Below are 23,218 nucleotides of genomic sequence, written 5' to 3'. Positions count from 1 at the left end.
CATAGCATGTGGAAAGATGGAATGAAGGAGAAACCAGTTTGCAGTTACCTAGAGTGAGAAATGATGTGGCAGAAGCAGAGGGTGTGGGGAGGGCAGAATCTAGGCATGAGAACTCAGACAGGTTGACTGTCGAAAGGAGGGAATGGAATTTTCAAATGTTGTCTTAGGGGTGAAAGGGTTTAGACAAGGGCCCACATTGGAAAGATGGGGAAACCGAGGCCTTGAGAGAGGAATCCACTCTTGACTCCCAGCATCCAGTGTTGTTTCAAGCTTTGCATTCAAAAGACACAGACTTCAAAGCTGCTCAGAGAGCTTACCTTAAATGACTTACGTGAAAGCTTGAGGAAACAACAATTAAAAAAAAAATCCCAAACTCTCAGTGTGGGAAATTATACTTGCTTTTGGAAAGAGGCCCTGGACAGAGCTTCCTGTCTGGGGGAACATATGGAACTAGGCGTTCTTTATGAAGAGGGAATGTAGGTGTGACGCTGCCAAAGGACCAGACGGTGTTCTTGAAAATCACAGGCTTCCTCCGGGTTTCCATCCCTGCAGCAAAATGGGGGTTCATTTGAGGGGTACCCAAGTGAAACCACAAGACCTAGAAGAAAATTACCTTCAGGTTTCTGAGGCTCAGTTTGAAGACACAGACAACTGTGGCTTCTCTAGAAATTAGATTCTAACAAATTCCACAGCTTGAAGTGTGGAACCAAATATCCAATTCTGAAAAGCACATTTGTATTAGATCGACACTTTCACCAGGAACATCAAAAAACACCTTATTATAATAAAAAACATTTGAGAGTTATCAAATCAGCTATATGTTGGAGTGGGGGGAGGTTCTGGAGAGAAGGAAAACGTACTGCGTTATCCCAGCAAACTAGAGAATCTGAGCAAAAAGCATCTCCTAAGAGCCAGAGAAATTGAGTTGAATGCTTTTCATTCTTAAAGCATTGTGGAGGCCAAAGAGAAAAACATATATGGAGTTCGGAATTATCCAGACATTCTGAGACCCATGTGGCCAAGATTTCAGAAAGAGGAGAAGTTCAATAACAAAGCCTGATAATCTATGTTAATTTTTCTCTTTCATTATTGGCTAATTTATGACAGGAGAACAGGATGAGAGGCAGAATCACTGTGCAGAAACTTGCTGCTGGGAGGCTATGAATCTAGCCAACGGTAAAGAGGAGGTGAGGATTAAGTTTAGGATTCATCAGAGTGCAGAGCTCTACATGCATGGCAGGCATTTAGTTAGGACAACTGAAGGACCACATCCTAGGGGGAGAGCTGAAATAAAAATAGAAATGTTCTTAAAATATTACAACATACTTCGGATAATCTTGATTCTTAGTTGCTTGAAGGTGATCCATTCATAATTAAACTTTCTGCTAGATGCTAAATAAATACCTCCAAGAGAAAGAAAACGCAAATCCTTTATGCTTTTCAAAAATTTATGTTTTGAATACAATGGTATTCATCCAGAAATGATCAGGCATACCAAGAGATGAAGCTGATAGGAAAAAATGGACAACAGAAACAAACCAGAGTGATTCAGATATTGGATAGTTGTCAGATATGGACTGGAAAACAACCCTGATTAACATGTTCAGAAAATGAGATGAGATAGAGAATTTAGAAATTTAATGGGAATATGGAAAAATTAACTGCAGTCAAAATCTAGTATTGTAAAAAACATTATAATTAAATCACAAATTGAGCATATATGAAGAGAGTATTAATGAAATAGAGGGTGTTAGTAGAAGGCATTCAGACAAAAGTTCCAAGGGAAAAGGTATTTATTACAAAAAAAAATAAATAAAAAAGCCAAGAAAAGTGGCAAATGGGGCATGGTGTTTGCTCTAACAACAGGTATGTATCTGAGGTATCAGAATTGGACAAAACAAGAAATATTTGAAGAAATAATTACTGAGAAGTTCCCCAAATTGATGAAAGGCATAAACCCACAGATTCAGGAAGCACTACAAACTAAAGTAAGATAAATACAAATACAACCACTGTATGTTATATTATAGTCATACTGTTGAAAAAGACAGAAAATTGTAAAAACACAGAAAAAAAATCCACATCATATTCCGAGAAACAGTAATAAATATGATAGCTGATTCTTAGGGACAAAATGCAAACCCAAATGAAACACAGGGAAAAAGTAAATTTCTACCTTGAATTCTACATATACTATATATTACTGTACATATATATATATATATATATATACACACACACGTATATATACATAAAGTAATAAAGAAGGATTTTAAAAATTTGAATATATTTAAACATGTATGTATGTAAAATATGTATCTATTCACTGTATGGAAAAATAATATTGTCTTATGTGATTTAAAATATATATAGACTGAAAATATATGACAATATAAAAAAAGGCAGGAGAGACAGTAAATGGAGATAAAGTATACTAAGGTTCTAACATCAGGAAAGGAAATAAAGCAGTAACTTATATTTGACCATAGTCAAGGATGCATGCTATAATCTCTCGAGCAACTATTAAAAGAGCAGTAAATGGCCAGGTGTGGTGTCTTAGGCCTATAATCCCAGCACTTTGGGAGGCTGAGGCAGGTGGATCACATGAGGTCAGGAGTTCAGACCACATTGGGCAACATGGCGAAACCCTGTCTCTACTAAAAATACAAAAATTACCCAGGCGTGGTGGCAGGCACCTGTAATCCCAGCTACTCAGGAGGTTGAGGCAGGAGAATCGCTTGAACCTGCGGGGCGGAGGTTGCAGTGAGCCAAGATTATGCCACTGCACTCCAGCCTGGGCAACAGAGCAAGACTCCATCTCAAAAAAAAAAAAAAAAAAAAAAAAAAAAAGCAAGACCCTGTCTCAAAAAAAAAAAAAAGAGTAGTAAAAGTATGCATAATTATTATGTCAACAGAAGGTGAGATGAATAACAAAAATACTCCAACAGAAGTCAAGAGAAATGAGAAGAAGGGACATAGAATAAATAGGACAAATAGAAAAATTAGTAAGGTGGTGTTAAACCTAAATATATCACAAATTAGGTTAAATGTAAATAGATGAATTAATGTAATTTAAAGACAAAGATTCTCACAGTTGAACAGATAGAAAGATACAGATGGGGAGACGTTTCCTGCTTACAAAAATGTTTCTTAGATGTGAGGATAAATTGATGTTGAAAATAAAGGCATGGAAAAGATATACCATGCAAACAGTATCCAAAAGAAAGCAAATATAGCTATGTTAATATAATTGTGGACCCAAGGGGGATTATAGCTGGACACAATGGATGGCATCAGCCCAAGGAGAATCTGGGATTTACTTATTTATTCAACACATGGTCGCTGCATGTCTACTATTTGCCAACAAAGAAGGAAAGCTGTCAGAAACAGGAATTTCAGTCAATAGGAAAGCGAGTTGGGAAACATGTTGAAATAGGGTGGGAGTTATGACTTTTTTTTCTTTTTAACTTTTTGAGAAAGTTCTTTTAAGCTTTTTATCACTAATTCAGATTAATGACATGGGACAGGGGTGAATCTAAAACCCCTTAAATGTCTTTGCTTGTACTTGCATTTTTTATAGGATGATATTAAAAGGGGGAAGGTGTATTTGTGCTCTTTCAAGACGCTTATCTACATTGTCATGAAAAAAGCATAGACCAGTTCACTGAAACCTTTCTCTGCTGCCACTGAATTGCTATTTCTCTCTGGACAAGATGTTTCTTCTTTCTGGGCTAACTGAGGTGACGTAGGATGATCAGACTATAAGTTCCCAGAAGTTTCTGGGATTCTATTCTTTTAAGATATTAGAGGGCTACCTCAGACATCCAATATGAGCCACTCGAGAATGGTTGAGTTCTTCTCTGTGAGTTGTAAACTTTAAAAATAATAATTCTTATAATGAAATAATTTATTATTGTTAGTATTATTTTATATCATCTAACACTTGTCAAGTGCTTACCATCAGGCATCCTCATCAGAACCTTACAGTTGTCCCATTTTATAACTGAAGAAGCAACTCGACAGGTGACCTAGCTTGTAAATGTTGAAGGTCTGTGTGGAAGACACATCTTTATGGTTGTTATGGATTGAATGTTTGCGTGCCATCACAATTCATATGTTGAAGCTTTAACTCCCTGATGTGGTTTGACTGTATCCCCACCCAAATCTAATCTTGAACTGTAGTTTCCATAATCCCCACGTGTCATGGGAGGGACCCAGTGGGAGATAATTGAATCATGGGGGCAGTTACCTCCACGCTGTTCTCGTGATAGTGAGTGAGTTCTCATAAGATCTGATAGTTTTACAGGGGATTTTCTTCCCCTTTGCTCTGCAATTCTCCTTGTTGCCACCATGTAAAGAAAAAGTGTTTACTTCTCCTTCTGCTATGACTGTAAGTTTCCAGAGGCTTCCCAAGCCCTGTGGAACTGTGAGTCAATTAAACCTTTTTCCTTTATAAATTACCCAGTCTCACGTATATCCTTATAGAAGCCTGAGAATGGACTAATACGACCCCAATACAATGGTATTTAGAGGTGACACCTTGGGAAAGCAATTAGATTTAGGAGAGGTTATAAAGGTATAGCTCCTATAATGAGATTAGTGTCATGAGAAGAGGAAGAGACACTATGGCTCTCTCTCTCTTTCTCTCTCCCTCTCCCTCTGTCCCTTTCTTTGTCTCTCTCTCTCTCTTTCTGCCATGTGAGGACACAGCAAGAAGGCAGCCTTTGGGAAGTCAGGAAAAGAGCCCTCACCAGGAACCAAATCAGCTGGCACTTTTATCTTGGATTTCCCAGCCTCCAGAACCATGAATAACAAATGTCTGCTGTTTAAGTCATTCAGCCTACAATATTTATTTTGATATAGCAGCCCAAGCTGTTTAGGATAATTGTTCTCTTCTCTCCTCATCTATGCCAATTTCTTCTTCAAAGACCACTAGTAAATTAGGAACTCACCCTTATTCCCAGTCCCAATCATCCTGCACATAAGCAAGGCTGAGTTTCAGGGGGCTGAGTCCCTGCCTTAATGTGAGATTGCAGTTTATTCTCTAATTAACTATGCAGAAACATCTTTGGCTAATAAAGTCTAAACAAAGAACATTTAATCCAACTCATCGTTTTTTTCTCCATTATGAGCAGCCTGTCAAACACAATCAGATTCCGCAAGCAAAGCAGAGAGGAGGCAGGCATCAGCCACACCTGCTTAGCAGGGTTGCTAGCAGGAATCTCACAGTCAGAGAACAGTTGGCTGTGCAGATGGCAGAGATGGGAAGATTTGAAGGGAAATCCACTCCCTGACTGGAGCTCAGTGCAGGAAAAGGGTCATTTGAGAGTTGCAGGCAGAGAAACACCTCCTCATTCTTCTGACTTAGCCCAGCCAATGGAAGAGAACTCAGAAAAAACAAAAGCACAAATATTTACAAAGAGCTTCCTATGTGTTCGAAATTTAACATACACAATCTCTATCAAACAATCATCAGGCTAGGGACTAGCTTTCCTACTTTCCAGATGAGAAAAATGAAGACACAAGAGGTAAAATGACTTACTTAAGGTCATACAGCCAGTAAGTAGAGTTGCAGGGATTTGAATCCGTGTCTTCCAGATTCTCTTCTCTGTTCTGGGCTTATTGAAGAATGTTCAATGAGCATCCACTGAACAATTGTTCTATGCCCATCTGTGGGAGCAATGCTGGGTAGAGATGCCAGAAATGTGGACAGCATTGTCCTTCCTTTGAAGATATTCCTGATACAAATAGAAAGAGAAGAATTAATACATCAGGACTAATTTTAAAACAGTGATATGTTGATCTGTGTGGCTATGACTCTGGGTAAGTTACAAAGGAACAGATAATCACAGTTTGTTCTAGCTAGAGTAGTGCCCAGCTCATAACATCTCAGAATTGCAAAGGGTCATCATAACTATGTGCAAATATACCCTTGGTAACCCTTAAAGGTGAAGACCATGTCTGATAAATTGGTCTGCCCAATGTTTTGATCACTGTCAGGAAATAATTGTTGAAGATGTAAATAAAAATTAACCTTAATGTATAAAGAAATTCAGACATCAACTTCTCTCTATATATTTTTACTTTTACTTTTTTTTTAACACTTTCTTTTATTTTATTTTCGTTTTTATTTACTTTTATTTTTTGAGACAGAGTCTTGCTCTGTTGCTCAGGCTGCAGTGCAGTGGCGTGATCTCGGCTCACTGCAACCTCCACCTCCTGGGTTCAAGCGATTCTCGTGTCTCAGCCTCCGAAGTAGCTGGGACTACAGGCATGCCACCACCCACGGCTAATTTTTGCTATTTTTAGTAGAGACGGGGTTTCAAGATGTTGGCCAGGCTGGTCTCAAACTCCTGACCTCAAGTGATCCACCAGCCTCAACCTCCCAGAGTGCTGGGATTACAGGTGTGGACTCCCAGAGTGCTGGGATTACAGGTGTGGCCATCTTCTATATATTTTAGATGAGGAGTGTCATGAACTCCTTTCAGAAATTTATAAGAGCTATGGGAAAAATGCACATAAAACTTTTGATGGTCCAGGTCTCCACAGAAGCTCTTTCATTATTATAACATTCAACATAAGAGGCTGATTCACGAAACTGTGACACATTCAAAGGATACAGTTTTTGTTTGTTTGTTTTTGTTTTTTGTTTTTTTTTAGACAGAGTCTTGCTCTGCACTCAGGCTGAGGTGCAGTGGCGTGATCTTGGCTCACTGCAACCTCAACCTCCCGGGTTCAAGTGATTCTTCTACCTCAGCCTCTTGAGTAGCTGGGACTACAGGGGCCCACCACCATGCCCAGCTAATTGTTGTATTTTTAGTAGAGGTGGGGTTTCACCACATTGGCCGGGTGCGGTGGCTCACGCCTGTGATCCCAACACTTTGGGAGGCCAAGGTGGGTGGATCATTTGAGGTCAGGAGTTTCAGGAAATAGTTTTTAAATATAATGTTTATGATAACGTCAAAGAGAACCACTTGGTTATGAAGTTAAAGGACATGAAACCATGATGCAAATTTTTTACGTGCCTTATGGTCTCTACTAACTATAAAATTTTGATTAAGAGTTCTGGCTATAGCAAGACTCCCTGGGTCCATTCCTAGATTTTTACTTGTCAACAGTGTGGCCTTGGGGAAGCTACTTGCTCCCTTGCTCCCTCAGTATCTTTATATCTAAAAACAGTACTTTTAAAAGGGGACCCTTTTGCACTATTGGTGGGAATGTAAATTAGTACGACTGCTATGAAGAACAGTTTGGAGGGCCCTCAAAAAAAAACTAAAAATCGAGCTGCCATATGATCCAACATTCCCACTGCTGGGTATGTACTCAAAAGAAAGAAAATCGGTGTATTGAAGAGATATCTGCACTCCTACGTTTGTTGCAGCACTGTTTACAATAGCCAAGATTTGGAAGTGACCTAAGTGTCCATCAACAGATGAATGGATAAAGAGAATGTGGTACATATACATAATGGAATATTATTCAGCCCTGAAAAGGAATGAGAACCTGTCATTTGCAACAATGTGGCTGCAACTGGAGATCATTATGTTAAGTGAAATAAGCCAGGCACAGAAAGACAAACATCGCATGTTCTTGCTTATTTGTGGGATCTAAAAATCAAATGAATTGAACTCATGGACATAGTAGAAGTATGGTTACCAGAGGCTGGGAAGGGTAATGGATGGTTGGGAGGAAGGTGGGGATGGTTAATGGGTATCAAAAAAAAAAAAAAAATAGAAAGAGCAAATAAGACCTGCTCTTTGGTAGCACAGTAGGGTGACCATAGTCAATAATAACTTAATTGTATATGTTAAAATAAAGAAAGTAATTGGATTGTTTGTAACTCAAAGGATAAATACTCCATTCTCCATAATGTGCTTATTTCACATTGCATGCTTGTATCAAAACATCTCATGTACCCCACAAACATACACATCTACATACCCACAAAAAATTTTTGAAAATTAAAAATTAAAAAATGATACTTTCTGCATAGCGTAATTGTAAGAATTAAATGATAAAATATACTATAGATAAAGCATTTTGCACAGTGCCTGTCACTGAGAAAAATTTTCATAAACACTGTCTATTATTATTATTATTCTTATATTTTGTTTACTTCAAAAATTACTCTGGGAGGCTGAGGTAGGAGGATCCCTTGAGCCTGGGAGGCTGAGGCTGCCGTGAGCCATGTTTGTGTCACTGTACTCTAGCCTGAGTGACAGAACGTGACCATATTTCAATAAAATTTACTGTGTAATTTAGTCTTATTTTACATATCACACACCCTCACATGCACACACACACACATGCACACACTACATTATCTATAGAATTTACCTCTGAGAGGAGAATAGGATTGTTTATGGAAAGTGATGGAACCCTTCAAATATACCCTTCACACATTTTTCCAATAAGAATGTATATGCATGCATTACTGCAAATCGAAAGAAGAGACTGCACTGCAAATTTGTAGTATTAGGGCAAATGTAAGCCATTCTTTCCTCTACTTTATTCATAGAATAGAATATCTTCTGCGTACTGAAATTTTAGCCTTTTTAAGATAGAGGGTCTCAGTTGACACTCACTGTTTAACTTCTCCAAGGAAAGAGAAGAAACATGCAAAGGTCCATTGAATATTGCAAAAGCCTCACTGGAAAACAGATGCCTGAAGGACTAGTTCACTACCTTGCATATTTTCATCTATGCCATTGGTATCCTGAAATGAATAGCCCCATCCATTCCCAGAGGGTCAAATCACCCAAATAGAAGTTCTCTGCTGCCATCTAATTAAGCAATGGAACCAAAAACAAAGGCTATTAAATGTCTCCTTGAAATGTTAAGTTTTCAATTCTAGAAGTGTGCTTCGCCATTCAAACAATAATATTTAGGCATGAAATATTTCTTTCTACTTTCCTCCATAGAGACTTGGCCATGGGCAATTAGTAAGCCCTGGCAGGCTGCCGTTCAAAAGAGAATGAGATGAAGCTGGATATTCTAGGAACCAAGTAGAAGTTATTCTGAGGAGTACATGTTAGATAATTCACTTAAACAAAATTTCAAAGACATTCACAGTGTTTAAATTATCCAAACAACAGAACTCCTATGAGAGTTTTGTGGCCGATGAACTCAAGAGAATATCAGCAGAGAGGAAAGCATATATTTCCTGATGAACAGGAAATTTCAGAACCATCAGGAGAAAAATGGGGGAAAGGTATCTATGGTCACTAAACAGCCACTGTTGCTGTCTCAGGTGATGAGAAGAATTAATTTGGGTGTTAATGTAAAAAAAAAAAAAAAAGAATCTTACCAATTACTTGGTATTTTTTGTAGAATGTTCCCAGAGTCCTCTGTCAAAGCTGGGGCAAATAATGACCCACTCTTTGGCAATAATAGGAAAGAAAATATGTTTTATATTCTTATCTTTATTTATTAAATAAATATGTATTGAGTGTCTTCTTTCTGCCACCTCTGTTGTAGACATCTTTTTCTAGCAGTGAACAAAATAGGCAAAGAGATGTTTAGAAGGAAATGAAGATAATTATCAAACAAACATATACACAAATAATACAAATCCAGTTACTACTAAGTGCTATGAAAGGCAAAAACAAAGTAAAATAATACATGGTGCCTGGGTTGACCAGAGAGGCCTTGATCTGGGCTGATCTGAGGAGGTGGCATGGGAATGGAGGTTGAATAATGACCAGGAGTCACCTATGTGAATATTTGAAGATAACGTGCTTCTGCCAAAGGGACCAGCAAGTACAAAGGGCCAGAGGAGGGGCTGGGATATAAGAATGTTATAGGACTAGCAGGTGTGTATGCCATTGCACAGTAACAGACCAATACACTGATACAGCAGGCTTTGCAGCAGAGAAAGAGTTTAATGATGGTGGGGCACCAAGGGAGGAGATGGGAGGGCACCTTCAGTCTATCACCCTGAGGAGTTCTGGGCTGGTTTTTTGTTTGTTTGTTTGTTTGTTTGAGACAGAGTCTCACTCTGTCTTATAGGCTGGAGTGCAGTGGCGCGATCTCAACTTACTGCAACCTCTGCCTCCCAGATTCAAGCGATTCTCCTGCCTCAGCCTCCTAAGTAGCTGGGACTACAGGCTCCCGCCATCACAGCAGGCTAATTATTTGTATTTTTAGTAGAAGCAGGGTTTCACCACGTTAGCCAGGATGGTCTCAATCTCCTGACTTCGTGAACTGCCCGCCTGGGCCTCCCCAAGTGCAGGGATTACAGGTATGAGCCACCGCGCCTGGCCTGGGCTGTGGTTTTTAATAGAATCATGAAGGATGAGGGGTTGGAAAATTGGGGTCATTGATTGGTAGGGTAAGGGGGGTTGAAATCATCTGAATGTGGAGACTGCATTCCTCAATGAGTTAGCTTCTCATGGGGTCCTTCAGACCAGCTGACATTAATAGTTTCATTGGTATGCAGGACCTGAAAGAATATTTCAGATGGGACACATAACATTTCATCATGTTCAAGTTGTTAGCTGTAGAGGAGTGAAGGGGAACTATGATCTAGGGTTTACATGATTCTAGGACAATAGGCACCAAATAGCTATGTAGAAGCAGGTCAGAGACCAAGCTGGCCTCATGATGAATGTTGTATGTGCCACAAATTTGGCTCATTTTCATTTCTCCCCCTCCCTTCTTCCCAGATTTCATTCACGCAATGGGTAGGGACTTTCAAGAAGAACAGCAAGAAGCCCAGAGTGATGGCAAGGTTTAAGAAGAAGAATAGTAGGCATTTTATTCAACCAGTCTCTGATAGGCAGACATCAGGCAGGGACCTGAATTTACTTTTTTCCCACTAATTAAGAGATAATGTGGACGAGTGCGGTGGCTCACACCTGAGGATGAGATAGATGGATCACTTGAGGTTAGGAGTTCCAGACCAGCCTGGGCAACATGGTGAAACCTCATCTCCACTAAAAATACAAAAATTAGCTGGGCATGGTGGTGTGTGCTTGTAATCCCAACTACTCGGGAGGCTGAGGCAGGAGAATCTCTTGAGCCCAGGAGGCAGAGTTTGCAGTAAGCTGCGAGTGCACCACCACTGCACTCCAGCCTGGGCAACAGAGTGAGAGTCTGTCTCAAAAATAAAAATCCAGAACTTACGAGCTGACTGGGCACAGTGGCTCACGCCTGTAATCCCAGCACTTCGGCTGAGGTGGGAGGACCACTTGAGGTCAGGAGTTCGAGACCAGCCTTGCCAACATAGTGAAACCCCGTCTCTACTACAAATACAAAAAAAAAAAAAAAGAAACAATTAGCCGGGCATGGTGGTGATCACCTGTAATCCCAGCTACTCAGGAGGCTGAGGCAGGAGAATCTCTTAACCCAGGAGGTGGAGGTTGCAGTGAGCCAAGATTCCGCCACTGCACTCCAGCCTGGGTGACAGAGTAAGAGTCCATCTCAAAATAATAATAATAATAATAATTAGAGTGAATGTTACTATTATCCTTACTCACAGATTCAAAATGTGTGATTTGTCTATTTATAGACAACCTCACAGGAACATGCTGTGTCATCATCTCTCTTTTCCTGAAATGCAGGGTGTAGGAATGAGTGCCTGGCTTAGCAAGAAGGCTCAGCCTCCCCTACATAGCATATCACTGTTGTTCACAGCCTGTCATCCCATCCTGAGAACCATCAGAAAGTGACCACGACTTGTTACTTTGTGAAATAAATGTTCCTTACAGGAAACCCCACTGCTTGTCCTGAAAATGGAAATGATAAGAAGTAGCAGGGATTTAAGGAAGTGGTGATTCTGAGACAGAAACGTATTTCATGTGGGAATTTAGTTTTATACTTAGAGACTCATTGCTTTTCTTCCGTCATGCTTTATGGCATTCACAAGGAATATTGAATGCTGCTCTGGTGGTATTTAGAAATTTGAGGATTAGTGAAGGTCTTGGGTCTTCTCCCTCATAGATAGAAACATCTCACCATCAAGGATACATGTGACGCCCTGGGTCCCATCATCATCATTGTCATTGTCATCATCATCATCATGAGGAAATATTGAATAGCCTATAGAGTCTAGGCTTGGGAACCTGCTCATTTTGCGTTGAATTCCGTCTGTATTTTTCTAGATATGTGACTTCATGCAAGGCTTTATATTCCCTGCCTCAGTTTCCCCATGACTGAGGGATAAAAATAGCACCTTCCTGAATGGATTGTTGTGAGGATTAACTGCACACATACATGGGAAGTGCCTGGAATGAGGGACAGTCATTGGGATTGTTTCCATATGGGAAAGAAGGTGTATCTGTTTGTGATATATACAAACGGGGATTTCATGTGTTTTAATTACCCAACCCTGCTTCTGAGACATGAAGTCAGATGTATGTGGATAATAATCTATTAATGTCTTGCTTCTCACCATGGAGGATAAATGTGATGCCCTGGATTTTCAGCTGCCCCCGGCCTGATGCCATTCTGCCCTTCCTGTCTAGACCCAGGAGTCAGCTCCCAGAGGAGATACTGAATCCACAATCCAGCTGGTGTATGAAACAGGGAAGGCAACAGGATTCCAGCTGCAGCCTCTAGCCCCACCCTCCCGGTGACACATTCCCCTTGGCGAACCCTCCAGAATCTCAATAATTCACCGCAGTCACCATGCTCAGACAGGTTGCTTGGAAAAGTGAGTTCTGAGCCAAGGGTTTTGGCAGGTCTTAAAATATTTCCTTCTGTGCAACTGCAATCACATCTCCATCATGGGCACCTGGGAGTGCAGCAAGGCATAAAGGGGAGAGGAATGAGGAACAAATGCAGCTCTTGGTTTATAATTTACCCTTGTCACAGAGATCCAGGCACAACCAATCTGGCTTGTAGTGTGAAATCCGGGACAATTGGAGTGACGCCTTTTTCGTTACATGTATGTTCATTTTCCCAGATAAAGAAAATGCAGGTCTAATCCCAGAGTAGCTACCAATTGCTTCTGCAATTCCAATGACCGAAGCTCAGATAAAAAAAAATGCATGCGTCAGTCTTCGCACTCCACTAGCTCCCACAAGGTTTATTACCTCCTTTTTTTCACCAGAAATTGCTGGAAAAGGAGGGGAAAACATTGATGACACAGACAAGCACTTGACAAGAGCTCAGTCTGAATTCTCCGTAGAGAGATACGTGTGGTGGTTGCAGGGAAAATCATCATAAAGACCATGTTAAATATTAAGGTCCAAGAGGTAAAGGTTTAGGTGTACGATGTTGCTATTTTATACCTCATTCTTAGCAAAAGGCTTGGCACATTGTATATGTTAATACATTATTGAAGCACAGGAGAAAAAGAAGAAAAGTAAGAAAGATCTTATCAATCAGATGATCCCTTAATGAGATGTGATTCAATCTGTGCATTCAGAATCCACTGAATATGGCTCTCTCTCTCTCTCTCTCTCTCACACACACACACACACACACACACACGCACACATTGCATTGATGGCTAGGCTTATGCATGTCACACCTGTTAATTATTTATGGATTCCCAAAGACCTAGTAAGGTAATAAAATTAGCCTATATCTATTGAGATTCACTATATACTAGACACCATGCCAAATACTTTAATTACTATTTTCATCTCTAATTTATACATGAAGAAACTGAAAGATGGAATTTTCTTTTCCTTCAATCCAAGGTCACTCAAATTCTACATGGAAGAGCCAAGTTTTGGTATTGTACTGCCTGACCACATTCCCCACTGTTAGCTCCCACTTCTCTATTTATAAGTAAAGGATGAAATGAAGTAAAACAGAGGCTCACAGAGGTGCAGCGACATCCACAGTAACACATGGCAAGTCAGGTGCGGAGCAGGAGTTGGAACTCAGCTTTCCCAGCCCCTACACGGGTGACCTTCCCTCTGTGGTTCCAAACCTTCACTGGCAGTCATTGATACTTGAGAATATAGGCAACTTGAACGTATCTCTGCCCTTGCCATGAAATTTTGGGGAGCCCACTGACCATACACTTACAAAAATATTTTGTAAAATCTACTGGGGATGAAGAATTTTGTAAAAGATGATATTAAGTCAGTTCAGATTCTCAGTTGCAGGTGAAAGATGACCAACTAAGACGAAATTAAGCAACAACAGAGGAATGGTGTGAGAATGAGGCTATTTTGTTAGGTCGTAGAACCAACAATTCCTTGCATGAAACTGGATTTTGGATTCAGGTGTCACTTATTGCAGGGGCTTAAATAATATCACCAGTTCTCTATTCTCTCTCTCTCTCTTTTTTTTTTTTTTTCTGAGACAGAGTCTCAATCTGGCGCCTAGGCTGGAGTGCTGTGGTGCCATCTTGACTCACAGCAACCTCTGCCTCCCGGGTTCACTCCATTCTCCTGCCTCAGCCTTCTGAGTAGCTGGGACTACAGGTGCCCGCCACAATGCCCGGCTAATTTTTTGTATTTTTGGTAGTGACCGGGTTTCACCATGTTAGCCAAGATGGTCTCGATCTCCTGACCTCGTGATCTGCCCGCCTGGCCTCCCAAAGTGCTGGGATTACAGGCGTGAGCCATTGCGCCCGGCCCTGTCTCTCTCTTGTTCTATCTCTTTTATCTCTCTCTCTCCACTCAGATCTGTTTTCTTCTTTGTTGGTTTATTTCTCAACCAGACCCACTTTAAGTGAATGTAATGTTCCAGACTTACACAGACCTCGCAGTCTTTGAGGAAGAGGGATCTCTTTCTTTTTTTTATTTTGTTTTATTATTATTATACTTTATTATATTTTATTATTATTATACTTTAAGTTTTAGGGTACATGTGCAGGTTAGTTACATATGTATACATGTGCCATGCTGGTGTGCTGCACCCATTAACTCGTCATTTAGCATTAGGTATATCTCCTAAAGCTATCCCTCCCCTCTCCCCCCACCCCACAACAGTCTCCAGAGTGTGATGTTCCCCTTCCTGTGTCCATGTGTTCTCATTGTTCAATTCCCACCTATGAGTGAGAATATGCGGTGTTTGGTTTTTTGTTCTTGCCATAGTTTACTGAGAATGATGATTTCCAATTTCATCCATGTCCCTACAAAGGACAAGAACTCATCATTTTTTATGGCTGCGTAGTATTCCATGGTGTATATGTGCCACATTTTCTTTTTTTTTTTTTTTTAATTTTTTTTTTTTTTTATTATACTCTAAGTTTTAGGGTACATGTGCACATTGTGCAGGTTAGTTACATATGTATACATGTGCCATGCTGGTGCGCTGCACCCACTAACGTGTCATCTAGCATTAGGTATATCTCCCAGTGCTATCCCTCCCCCCTCCCCCGACCCCACCACAGTCCCCAGAGTGTGATATTCCCCTTCCTGTGTCCATGTGATCTCATTGTTCAATTCCCACCTATGAGTGAGAACATGCGGTGTTTGGTTTTTTGTTCTTGCGATAGTTTACTGAGAATGATGGTTTCCAATTTCATCCATGTCCCTACAAAGGACATGAACTCATCATTTTTTATGGCTGCATAGTATTCCATGGTGTATATGTGCCATGTTTTCTTAATCCAGTCTATCATTGTTGGATATTTGAGTTGGTTCCAAGTCTTTGCTATTGTGAATAGTGCCGCAATAAACATACGTGTGCATGTGTCTTTATAGCAGCATGATTTATAGTCCTTTGGGTATATACCCAGTAATGGGATGGCTGGGTCAAATGGTATTTCTATTTCTAGATCCCTGAGGAATCGCCACACTGACTTCCACAATGGTTGAACTAGTTTACAGTCCCACCAACAGTGTAAAAGTGTTCCTATTTCTCCACATCCTCTCCAGCACCTGTTGTTTCCTGACTTTTTAATGATTGCCATTCTAACTGGTGTGAGATGATATCTCATAGTGGTTTTGATTTGCATTTCTCTGATGGCCAGTGATGATGAGCATTTCTTCATGTGTTTTTTGGCTGCATAAATGTCTTCTTTTGAGAAGTGTCTGTTCATGTCCTTCGCCCACTTTTTGATGGGGTTGTTTGTTTTTTTCTTGTAAATTTGTTTGAGTTCATTGTAGATTCTGGATATTAGCCCTTTGTCAGATGAGTAGGTTGTGAAAATTTTCTCCCATGTTGTAGGTTGCCTGTTCACTCTGATGGTAGTTTCTTTTGCTGTGCAGAAGCTCTTTAGTTTAATTAGATCCCATTTGTCAATTTTGGCTTTTGTTGCCATTGCTTTTGGTGTTTTGGACATGAAGTCCTTGCCCACGCCTATGTCCTGAATGGTAATGCCTAGGTTTTCTTCTAGGGTTTTTATGGTTTTAGGTCTAACGTTTAAATCTTTAATCCATCTTGAATTGATTTTTGTATAAGGTGTAAGGAAGGGGTCCAGTTTCAGCTTTCTACATATGGCTAGCCAGTTTTCCCAGCACCATTTATTAAATAGGGAATCCTTTCCCCATTGCTTGTTTTTCTCAGGTTTGTCAAAGATCAGATAGTTGTAGATATGCGGCATTATTTCTGAGGGCTCTGTTCTGTTCCATTGATCTATATCTCTGTTTTGGTACCAGTACCATGCTGTTTTGGTTACTGTAGCCTTGTAGTATAGTTTGAAGTCAGGTAGTGTGATGCCTCCAGCTTTGTTCTTTTGGCTTAGGATTGACTTGGCGATGCGGGCTCTTTTTTGGTTCCATATGAACTTTAAAGTAGTTTTTTCCAATTCTGTGAAGAAAGTCATTGGTAGCTTGATGGGGATGGCATTGAATCTGTAAATTACCTTGGGCAGTATGGCCATTTTCACGATATTGATTCTTCCTACCCATGAGCATGGAATGTTCTTCCACTTGTTTGTGTCCTCTTTTATTTCCTTGAGCAGTGGTTTGTAGTTCTCCTTGAAGAGGTCCTTCACATCCCTTGTAAGTTGGATTCCTAGGTATTTTATTCTCTTTGAAGCAATTGTGAATGGGAGTTCACTCATGATTTGGCTCTCTGTTTGTCTGTTGTTGGTGTATAAGAATGCTTGTGATTTTTGTACATTGATTTTGTATCCTGAGACTTTGCTGAAGTTGCTTATCAGCTTAAGGAGATTTTGGGCTGAGACGATGGGGTTTTCTAGATAAACAATCATGTCGTCTGCAAACAGGGACAATTTGACTTCCTCTTTTCCTAATTGAATACCCTTTATTTCCTTCTCCTGCCTGATTGCCCTGGCCAGAACTTCCAACACTATGTTGAATAGGAGCGGTGAGAGAGGGCATCCCTGTCTTGTGCCAGTTTTCAAAGGGAATGCTTCCAGTTTTTGCCCATTCAGTATGATATTGGCTGTGGGTTTGTCATAGATAGCTCTTATTATTTTGAAATACGTCCCATCAATACCTAATTTATTGAGAGTTTTTAGCATGAAGGGTTGTTGAATTTTGTCAAAGGCTTTTTCTGCATCTATTGAGATAATCATGTGGTTTTTGTCTTTGGCTCTGTTTATATGCTGGATTACATTTATTGATTTGCGTATATTGAACCAGCCTTGCATCCCAGGGATGAAGCCCACTTGATCATGGTGGATAAGCTTTTTGATGTGCTGCTGGATTCGGTTTGCCAGTATTTTATTGAGGATTTTTGCATCAATGTTCATCAAGGATATTGGTCTAAAATTCTCTTTTTTGGTTGTGTCTCTGCCCGGCTTTGGTATCAGAATGATGCTGGCCTCATAAAATGAGTTAGGGAGGATTCCCTCTTTTTCTATTGATTGGAATAGTTTCAGAAGGAATGGTACCAGTTCCTCCTTGTACCTCTGGTAGAATTCGGCTGTGAATCCATCTGGTCCTGGACTCTTTTTGGTTGGTAAACTATTGATTATTGCCACAATTTCAGAGCCTGTTATTGGTCTATTCAGAGATTCAACTTCTTCCTGGTTTAGTCTTGGGAGAGTGTATGTGTCGAGGAATGTATCCATTTCTTCTAGATTTTCTAGTTTATTTGCGTAGAGGTGTTTGTAGTATTCTCTGATGGTAGTTTGTATTTCTGTGGGATCGGTGGTGATATCCCCTTTATCATTTTTTATTGTGTCTATGTGCCACATTTTCTTAATCCAGTCTATCATTGTTGGACATTTGGGTTGGTTCCAAGTCTTTGCTATTGTGAATAGTGCCGCAATAAACATACGTGTGCATGTGTCTTTATAGCAGCATGATTTATAGTCCTTTGGGTATATACCCAGTAATGGGATGGATGGCTGGGTCAAATGGTATTTCTATTTCTAGATCCCTGAGGAATCGCCACACTGACTTCCACAATGGTTGAACTAGTTTACAGTCCCACCAACAGTGTGAAAGTGTTCCTATTTCTCCACATCCTCTCCAGCACCTGTTGTTTCCTGACTTTTTAATGATTGCCATTCTAACTGGTGTGAGATGGTATCTCATTGCGGTTTTGATTTGCATTTCTCTGATGGCCAGTGACGGTGAGCATTTTTTCATGTGTTTTTTGGCTGCATAAATGTCTTCTTTTGAGAAGTGTCTGTTCATATCCTTCACCCACTTTTTGATGGGGTTGTTTGTTTTTTTCTTGTAAATTTGTTAGAGTTCATTGTAGATTCTGCATATCAGCCCTTTGTCAGATGAGTAGGTTGCGAAAATTTTCTCCCATTTTGTAGGTTGCCTGTTCACTCTGATGGTAGTTTGTTTTGCTGTGCAGAAGCTTTTTAGTTTAATTAGATCCCATTTGTCAATTTTGGCTTTTGTTGCCATTGCTTTTGGTGTTTTAGGAAGAGGGATCTCTTTCTTAGTAGCCTTATCAATACCTGATTAGCCCTTCTTGGGTCATGTCCACCCGTGGGCCTCCTGGACCCATGACTGTATCTAGGAGGAGAGCTTGCTCTCATCGGTTAGCTACAGTTACATGGCCATCTTATTGGTTAAGACAGAAAGGACAGAATGAGGAACTTTGAAAAGAGAGAGAGAGATTTTATAACCAGAAAAATGAGGAGACACCGGACAAGATATCAGACTAGACGTCTATTGCTGACCTATATTCAAGCCATGCAATGTCTACAAAAGGCTCATTCAAATCCTCAAGTTCTGCTCAAATGGCTTATCAAGAACTATGAATCTGACCCACTCAGTGTGACAGGGGTGTTTGCTGAAGCAAAGTCTGCATTGTCCGCCAAATGTCTCTCCTAGAATCCTCTCATTATAGAAAGATTTAATCATTTATCATTTAAAAAAATACTTCCCAACATCTGAAATCCTAGAGGTAAAGAAAGGCAGAAACACGTGTCTTTGAGTTGGCAAAACTTCGTGTAAGGCAGAGCATTGTTTTTGGCTGACCGCAGCATCAAACGAGGTGATTTTTATTGACAGTCTCCTTGAGCAGGATGGATGTCTTCATAAGCCCAAGAAGGAAAGAAAGCAGCAAAAACGAAGACAGAAGGAAGCCGAGGAGACAGTGTGACAAATATTGAAACGAGTAGGAAATTGTTTTAAAAAATCAGAGATCCATGGAGAATACTGAACAACCTTTGCCCACAGATGAACAGACAAGCACAATTGCACACTGCAGGTTCTGAAGGCTCAAATGCGAGCTTGGATTTACTTTCACCACCATTAGAAGAGTAATGGGCCTCTTTGGAAAAGGAGGATGCCATTAGGATCCCAAACTAAGTTTTCTTCATGCTGCAATATGACACTCTGTGATCAATCCTTCTCAGCCACTACGTGAAAAGAACCAGCATTTCCTATTATCCTTTTATTTGTACTCTTGTTTCTTTGCCCCTCCTTTTATTTTTTATTTTTATTTTGGCATCTGAACATGTGACGATGAAGATCCTTAGCTGATATTTAAATTCTCGTCCCAGAATCTGCACATTGGCATTTTATTTTAGATCACTTCTATAGACTATCAGAAATGTTATGAATGAAATGTGATACATCAGCCGGAAAGCCAGAACCTTCTGAAGGGCTTAACAGTTGAAGACATGATTCCTTCATTGTTGACAGAGCTAGGACACCGTGTTCTTGTTCACCAACTCTGGTCATTTCAAATATGATGATAAGAAGTCATGTGGCCAACTTTATGTGGCTACAGTAGGTGCTTCTATTGACAAAATCTAGAAGTGTGGGGCACACTTCCACATGAGCAAATTGTTTTGCCTGAAATAGTATGTGATGTATTGGAATCTCTCTTTTCAAAATTTCTCATCCTGTCCTTTCTTTTTTTTTTTTTTGTGAGACGGAGTCTGGCTCTGTTGTCCAGGCTAGAGTGCAGTGGTGCAATCTTGGCTCACTGCAACTTCTGCCTCCCGGGTTCAAGAGATTCTCCTTCCTTGGCCTCCCAAGTAGCTGGGATTATAGGTGCCTGCCACCACGACCAGCTAATTTTTGTATTTTTAATGGAGATGGGGTTTTGCCATGTTGGCCAGGCTGATCTTAAACTCCTGACCTCAGGTGATCTGCCCCGCTCAGCCTTCCAAAGTGCTGGGATTACAGGCATGAGCCACTGTGCCCAGCCCTTTCTGTCTTCTTAACCAATAAGGTTGCCATGTGACTGCAGCTGAGCCATGAGAGCATGCTCTCCTTTCAGACACAGTCATTGGTCCAGGAGGCCAGGGGGGTAGACACGACCCAAACTTAAATCAAAGAGATCTGGGCGAATTAAAATGATATAATTACAACAACAATAATAACAGGAAAAATATAGAGTGGTACAGTATGCTGGCCCTGTGTTAGGCATCCTAGATACATTGTCTCAATTGATTCTTGTAACAGCCCTATAAAGTTGATATAATGACATGCCCATTTTATAAATGGGGAAATGGAGGCAGAGGGCAAATGAGCAACATGTGCCAGCCTGCAGAACTGACAAGCAACTGAGCTGGGATTTAAATCTAGCTGCCCCTGTCTCAAAGCTTGGACTCATCAACGTTTCTCTATGCTAATCCTGCTTCGGTTACGACCTTACTTTGTGAACTTGAGAAAGTCACTTCCTTTCTAAGTTTGTTTATCTGTAAAATGAGATTGATTTAAATTTGTGGAAATCACATTTTGTTAAAGTGTGTGAGCCTTTTTTAAAAAAGGCCAAAACATTTTTTCAAGCATCCAAATATGTTTGTTTTTTTAATGGTCATTGAGAAAATAAAGAAAATACAACTTCTGTGTATTCAATATTTTAATTATTTATAAATAAGAGAAAACACTTAATAGTGCTTAAAAGCACAGCCTCCAGAGTCATAGCATTTGGGTGCAAATTTCACATCTGCCACTTACTGGCTATGTGAATTTGGACAAATTGTATACCTTTCTCTGTCTCAGTTCTCTCTTCTAAAAAGTAGCTAATAATAGCAACCTCCCTCATGGGGTAATTTCAAAGATCAAGTGAGTTTCTATTTGGAATGCACTTAGAAAGAGCATTGAAGAATAGTAAACGCTACGTAAATCTCACCTATTCTTATTGCATTTCACAAATCACAGTGACTTTTTTTATATTATCACAAAAGTACTAATTTTTCAGAAAAGACTAGATATATGTGTAGAAACTCGGGGAAGACCACAGGGTTCTGAAGCAGAAAGATAGAAAATGAAATATAAAATTATTTCTGAGCTTTCTTCCTATCTGATCATTGTATGAAAAGAAAAATAAGAAAGAAAAACTCTTCTGCCCTCAAACTTCTGACATCACACAACCTACTTCTCAAGACTTCTCAGATGGAAAAAAAAAAGTTTAGGGCAAATGGTTTTTTTTCCACTGGACTGCAAGCTCTTGGAGTCAGGAATTCATAGGTGTTTCACATTTGTGACTATCCTTACCAACCCCCCATCTTCATGCCTACTCTAGCATCGCAAAACACGTGGTCTTGTAAGTAGTAGATTCTCATGCAACTTGTGAAGAAAAAAGGGAGGAGAGAAAGGAAGAAGAGAGGAACTTGACATTTATACATTCCTGTTCTAAAACAGGGTTGCCTTGGAATTTGCTGGTTGGAAAAAGTTCAGAAAACCGTTGACTATGTGGACCAGGAAGTGGGAGAAATGATCAAGACTGAAAGTCACCTGTGTAAGGAATCTGCGAAGCCCCACACACAACTCGGCCCTGGTGCATCAGCCTTTGGTTACATTTGAATGTCATTTTCAATTACTTCCAGCCCTTCTTACTTCCTACCAAACCTCGGCTTTTAGGGGGGTTCCATGGTACACCCGCTACATCCTTCCTCACTTCGATATTTCTTACCTCCTACCCCTAGGCCCCATTTTCTCACCCTCTGACTTTTCCTTCCTGACACTGTTAAACAGAAAATCCTACTAAATCCTGAGTTGGAATACGGGCCACTGGCTGCATCTGTGCTAAACTGCTTGTAATGACAGCAAGTGTTGATTTAGCACAGTGACTGAGAGGAGAGTCCCTGAGCCTCACTGTTAGGGCTTAATTCCTGGCTGTGTTGCTTACTAGTTATGTGACCTTGAGTGGGTACTTTAAATTCTCTATGCCTCACTTGAATCCTCCAGAAAACTGAGGTAATAGTAATAATACTACCCATTGTATGGGGTTATTATAAAAATGAGATAAACTTAGAACTGTGCCTAGCACATGGTAATCATCACATGATTCAAACACTTACTGTGTCCTGGCCATATTGTCCTGCAAATTGTTTGTTTTACCTAAAATGTGATTAAATCTATTCTTTTTTCTTTTTCTGGCTACCTGCTACTTCTCCATCAGTCTCAGGTGAAATGACAGCATGTCTTGAAAACATCTTTTTACTTTCATCGTCTAGATTAGTTCTTCATTCTTTGTGTCCGTTTAATGCTGGAATTGGATACATCAGCAGAGAATATGGTTTTGCTTTATGTTGCAAAGTCAGTTTGCTTATCTCTCCCACTGGACTAAGGACTTCTTAAGAGCAGATGCTGTGAACTACATACTATTTTATACCAAACATCTGGTGTCCCCACAAAATGACCCTTTGTCTGTCCTGACAGCATGTGGTTTGGTTGGTGGGCAAGCAGAGGCTTTGGGGAAAGACAGATGTGAACTCATCTCCTACTCTGCTATCTCAGTCTCATTCATGTTGGTACCACATTCATATTTTCTTCACTTATTCACTACCACTGCTTTAATTTTGCATGATCTCACTTGAATTCTGCAGATCATTAGAGACCAGACCTATTTGGTTCCCTTGTCTCCAACTGCTCCTTCTTCCCATATGTCCTACATATTGCTAGATTAATCTTCTCAAAATGCAAATGTGATTATTGTTTACTTCCCTGTCTCTCTCATTAGACTCTAAATGCATTAT

General features: G+C 40.1%; 1 long non-coding RNA gene across 1 annotated transcript in view, besides 1 other annotated feature; it reads left to right on the top strand.

Moving 5' to 3' along the window:
- LOC105371069 (uncharacterized) overlaps positions 1-23,218 on the top strand; it is a 236,274-nt gene that overhangs the window by 36,830 nt on the left and 176,226 nt on the right. The gene's annotated exons all lie outside the window — the stretch shown is intronic.
- Positions 4,014-4,214: a silencer, noted in NCBI's record as "peak2492 fragment used in MPRA reporter construct". NCBI's record gives its function as "represses an SCP1 promoter by STARR-seq MPRAs in K562 erythroleukemia cells {active_cell/tissue: K562}" and the evidence as "EXISTENCE:reporter gene assay evidence [ECO:0000049][PMID:32103011]".

The sequence above is a fragment of the Homo sapiens genome, chromosome 16 (assembly GCF_000001405.40).
Source record: "Homo sapiens chromosome 16, GRCh38.p14 Primary Assembly".
NCBI classification, from domain to species: Eukaryota; Metazoa; Chordata; class Mammalia; order Primates; family Hominidae; genus Homo; species Homo sapiens.
This window is presented reverse-complemented; position numbering and strand designations above follow the sequence as displayed.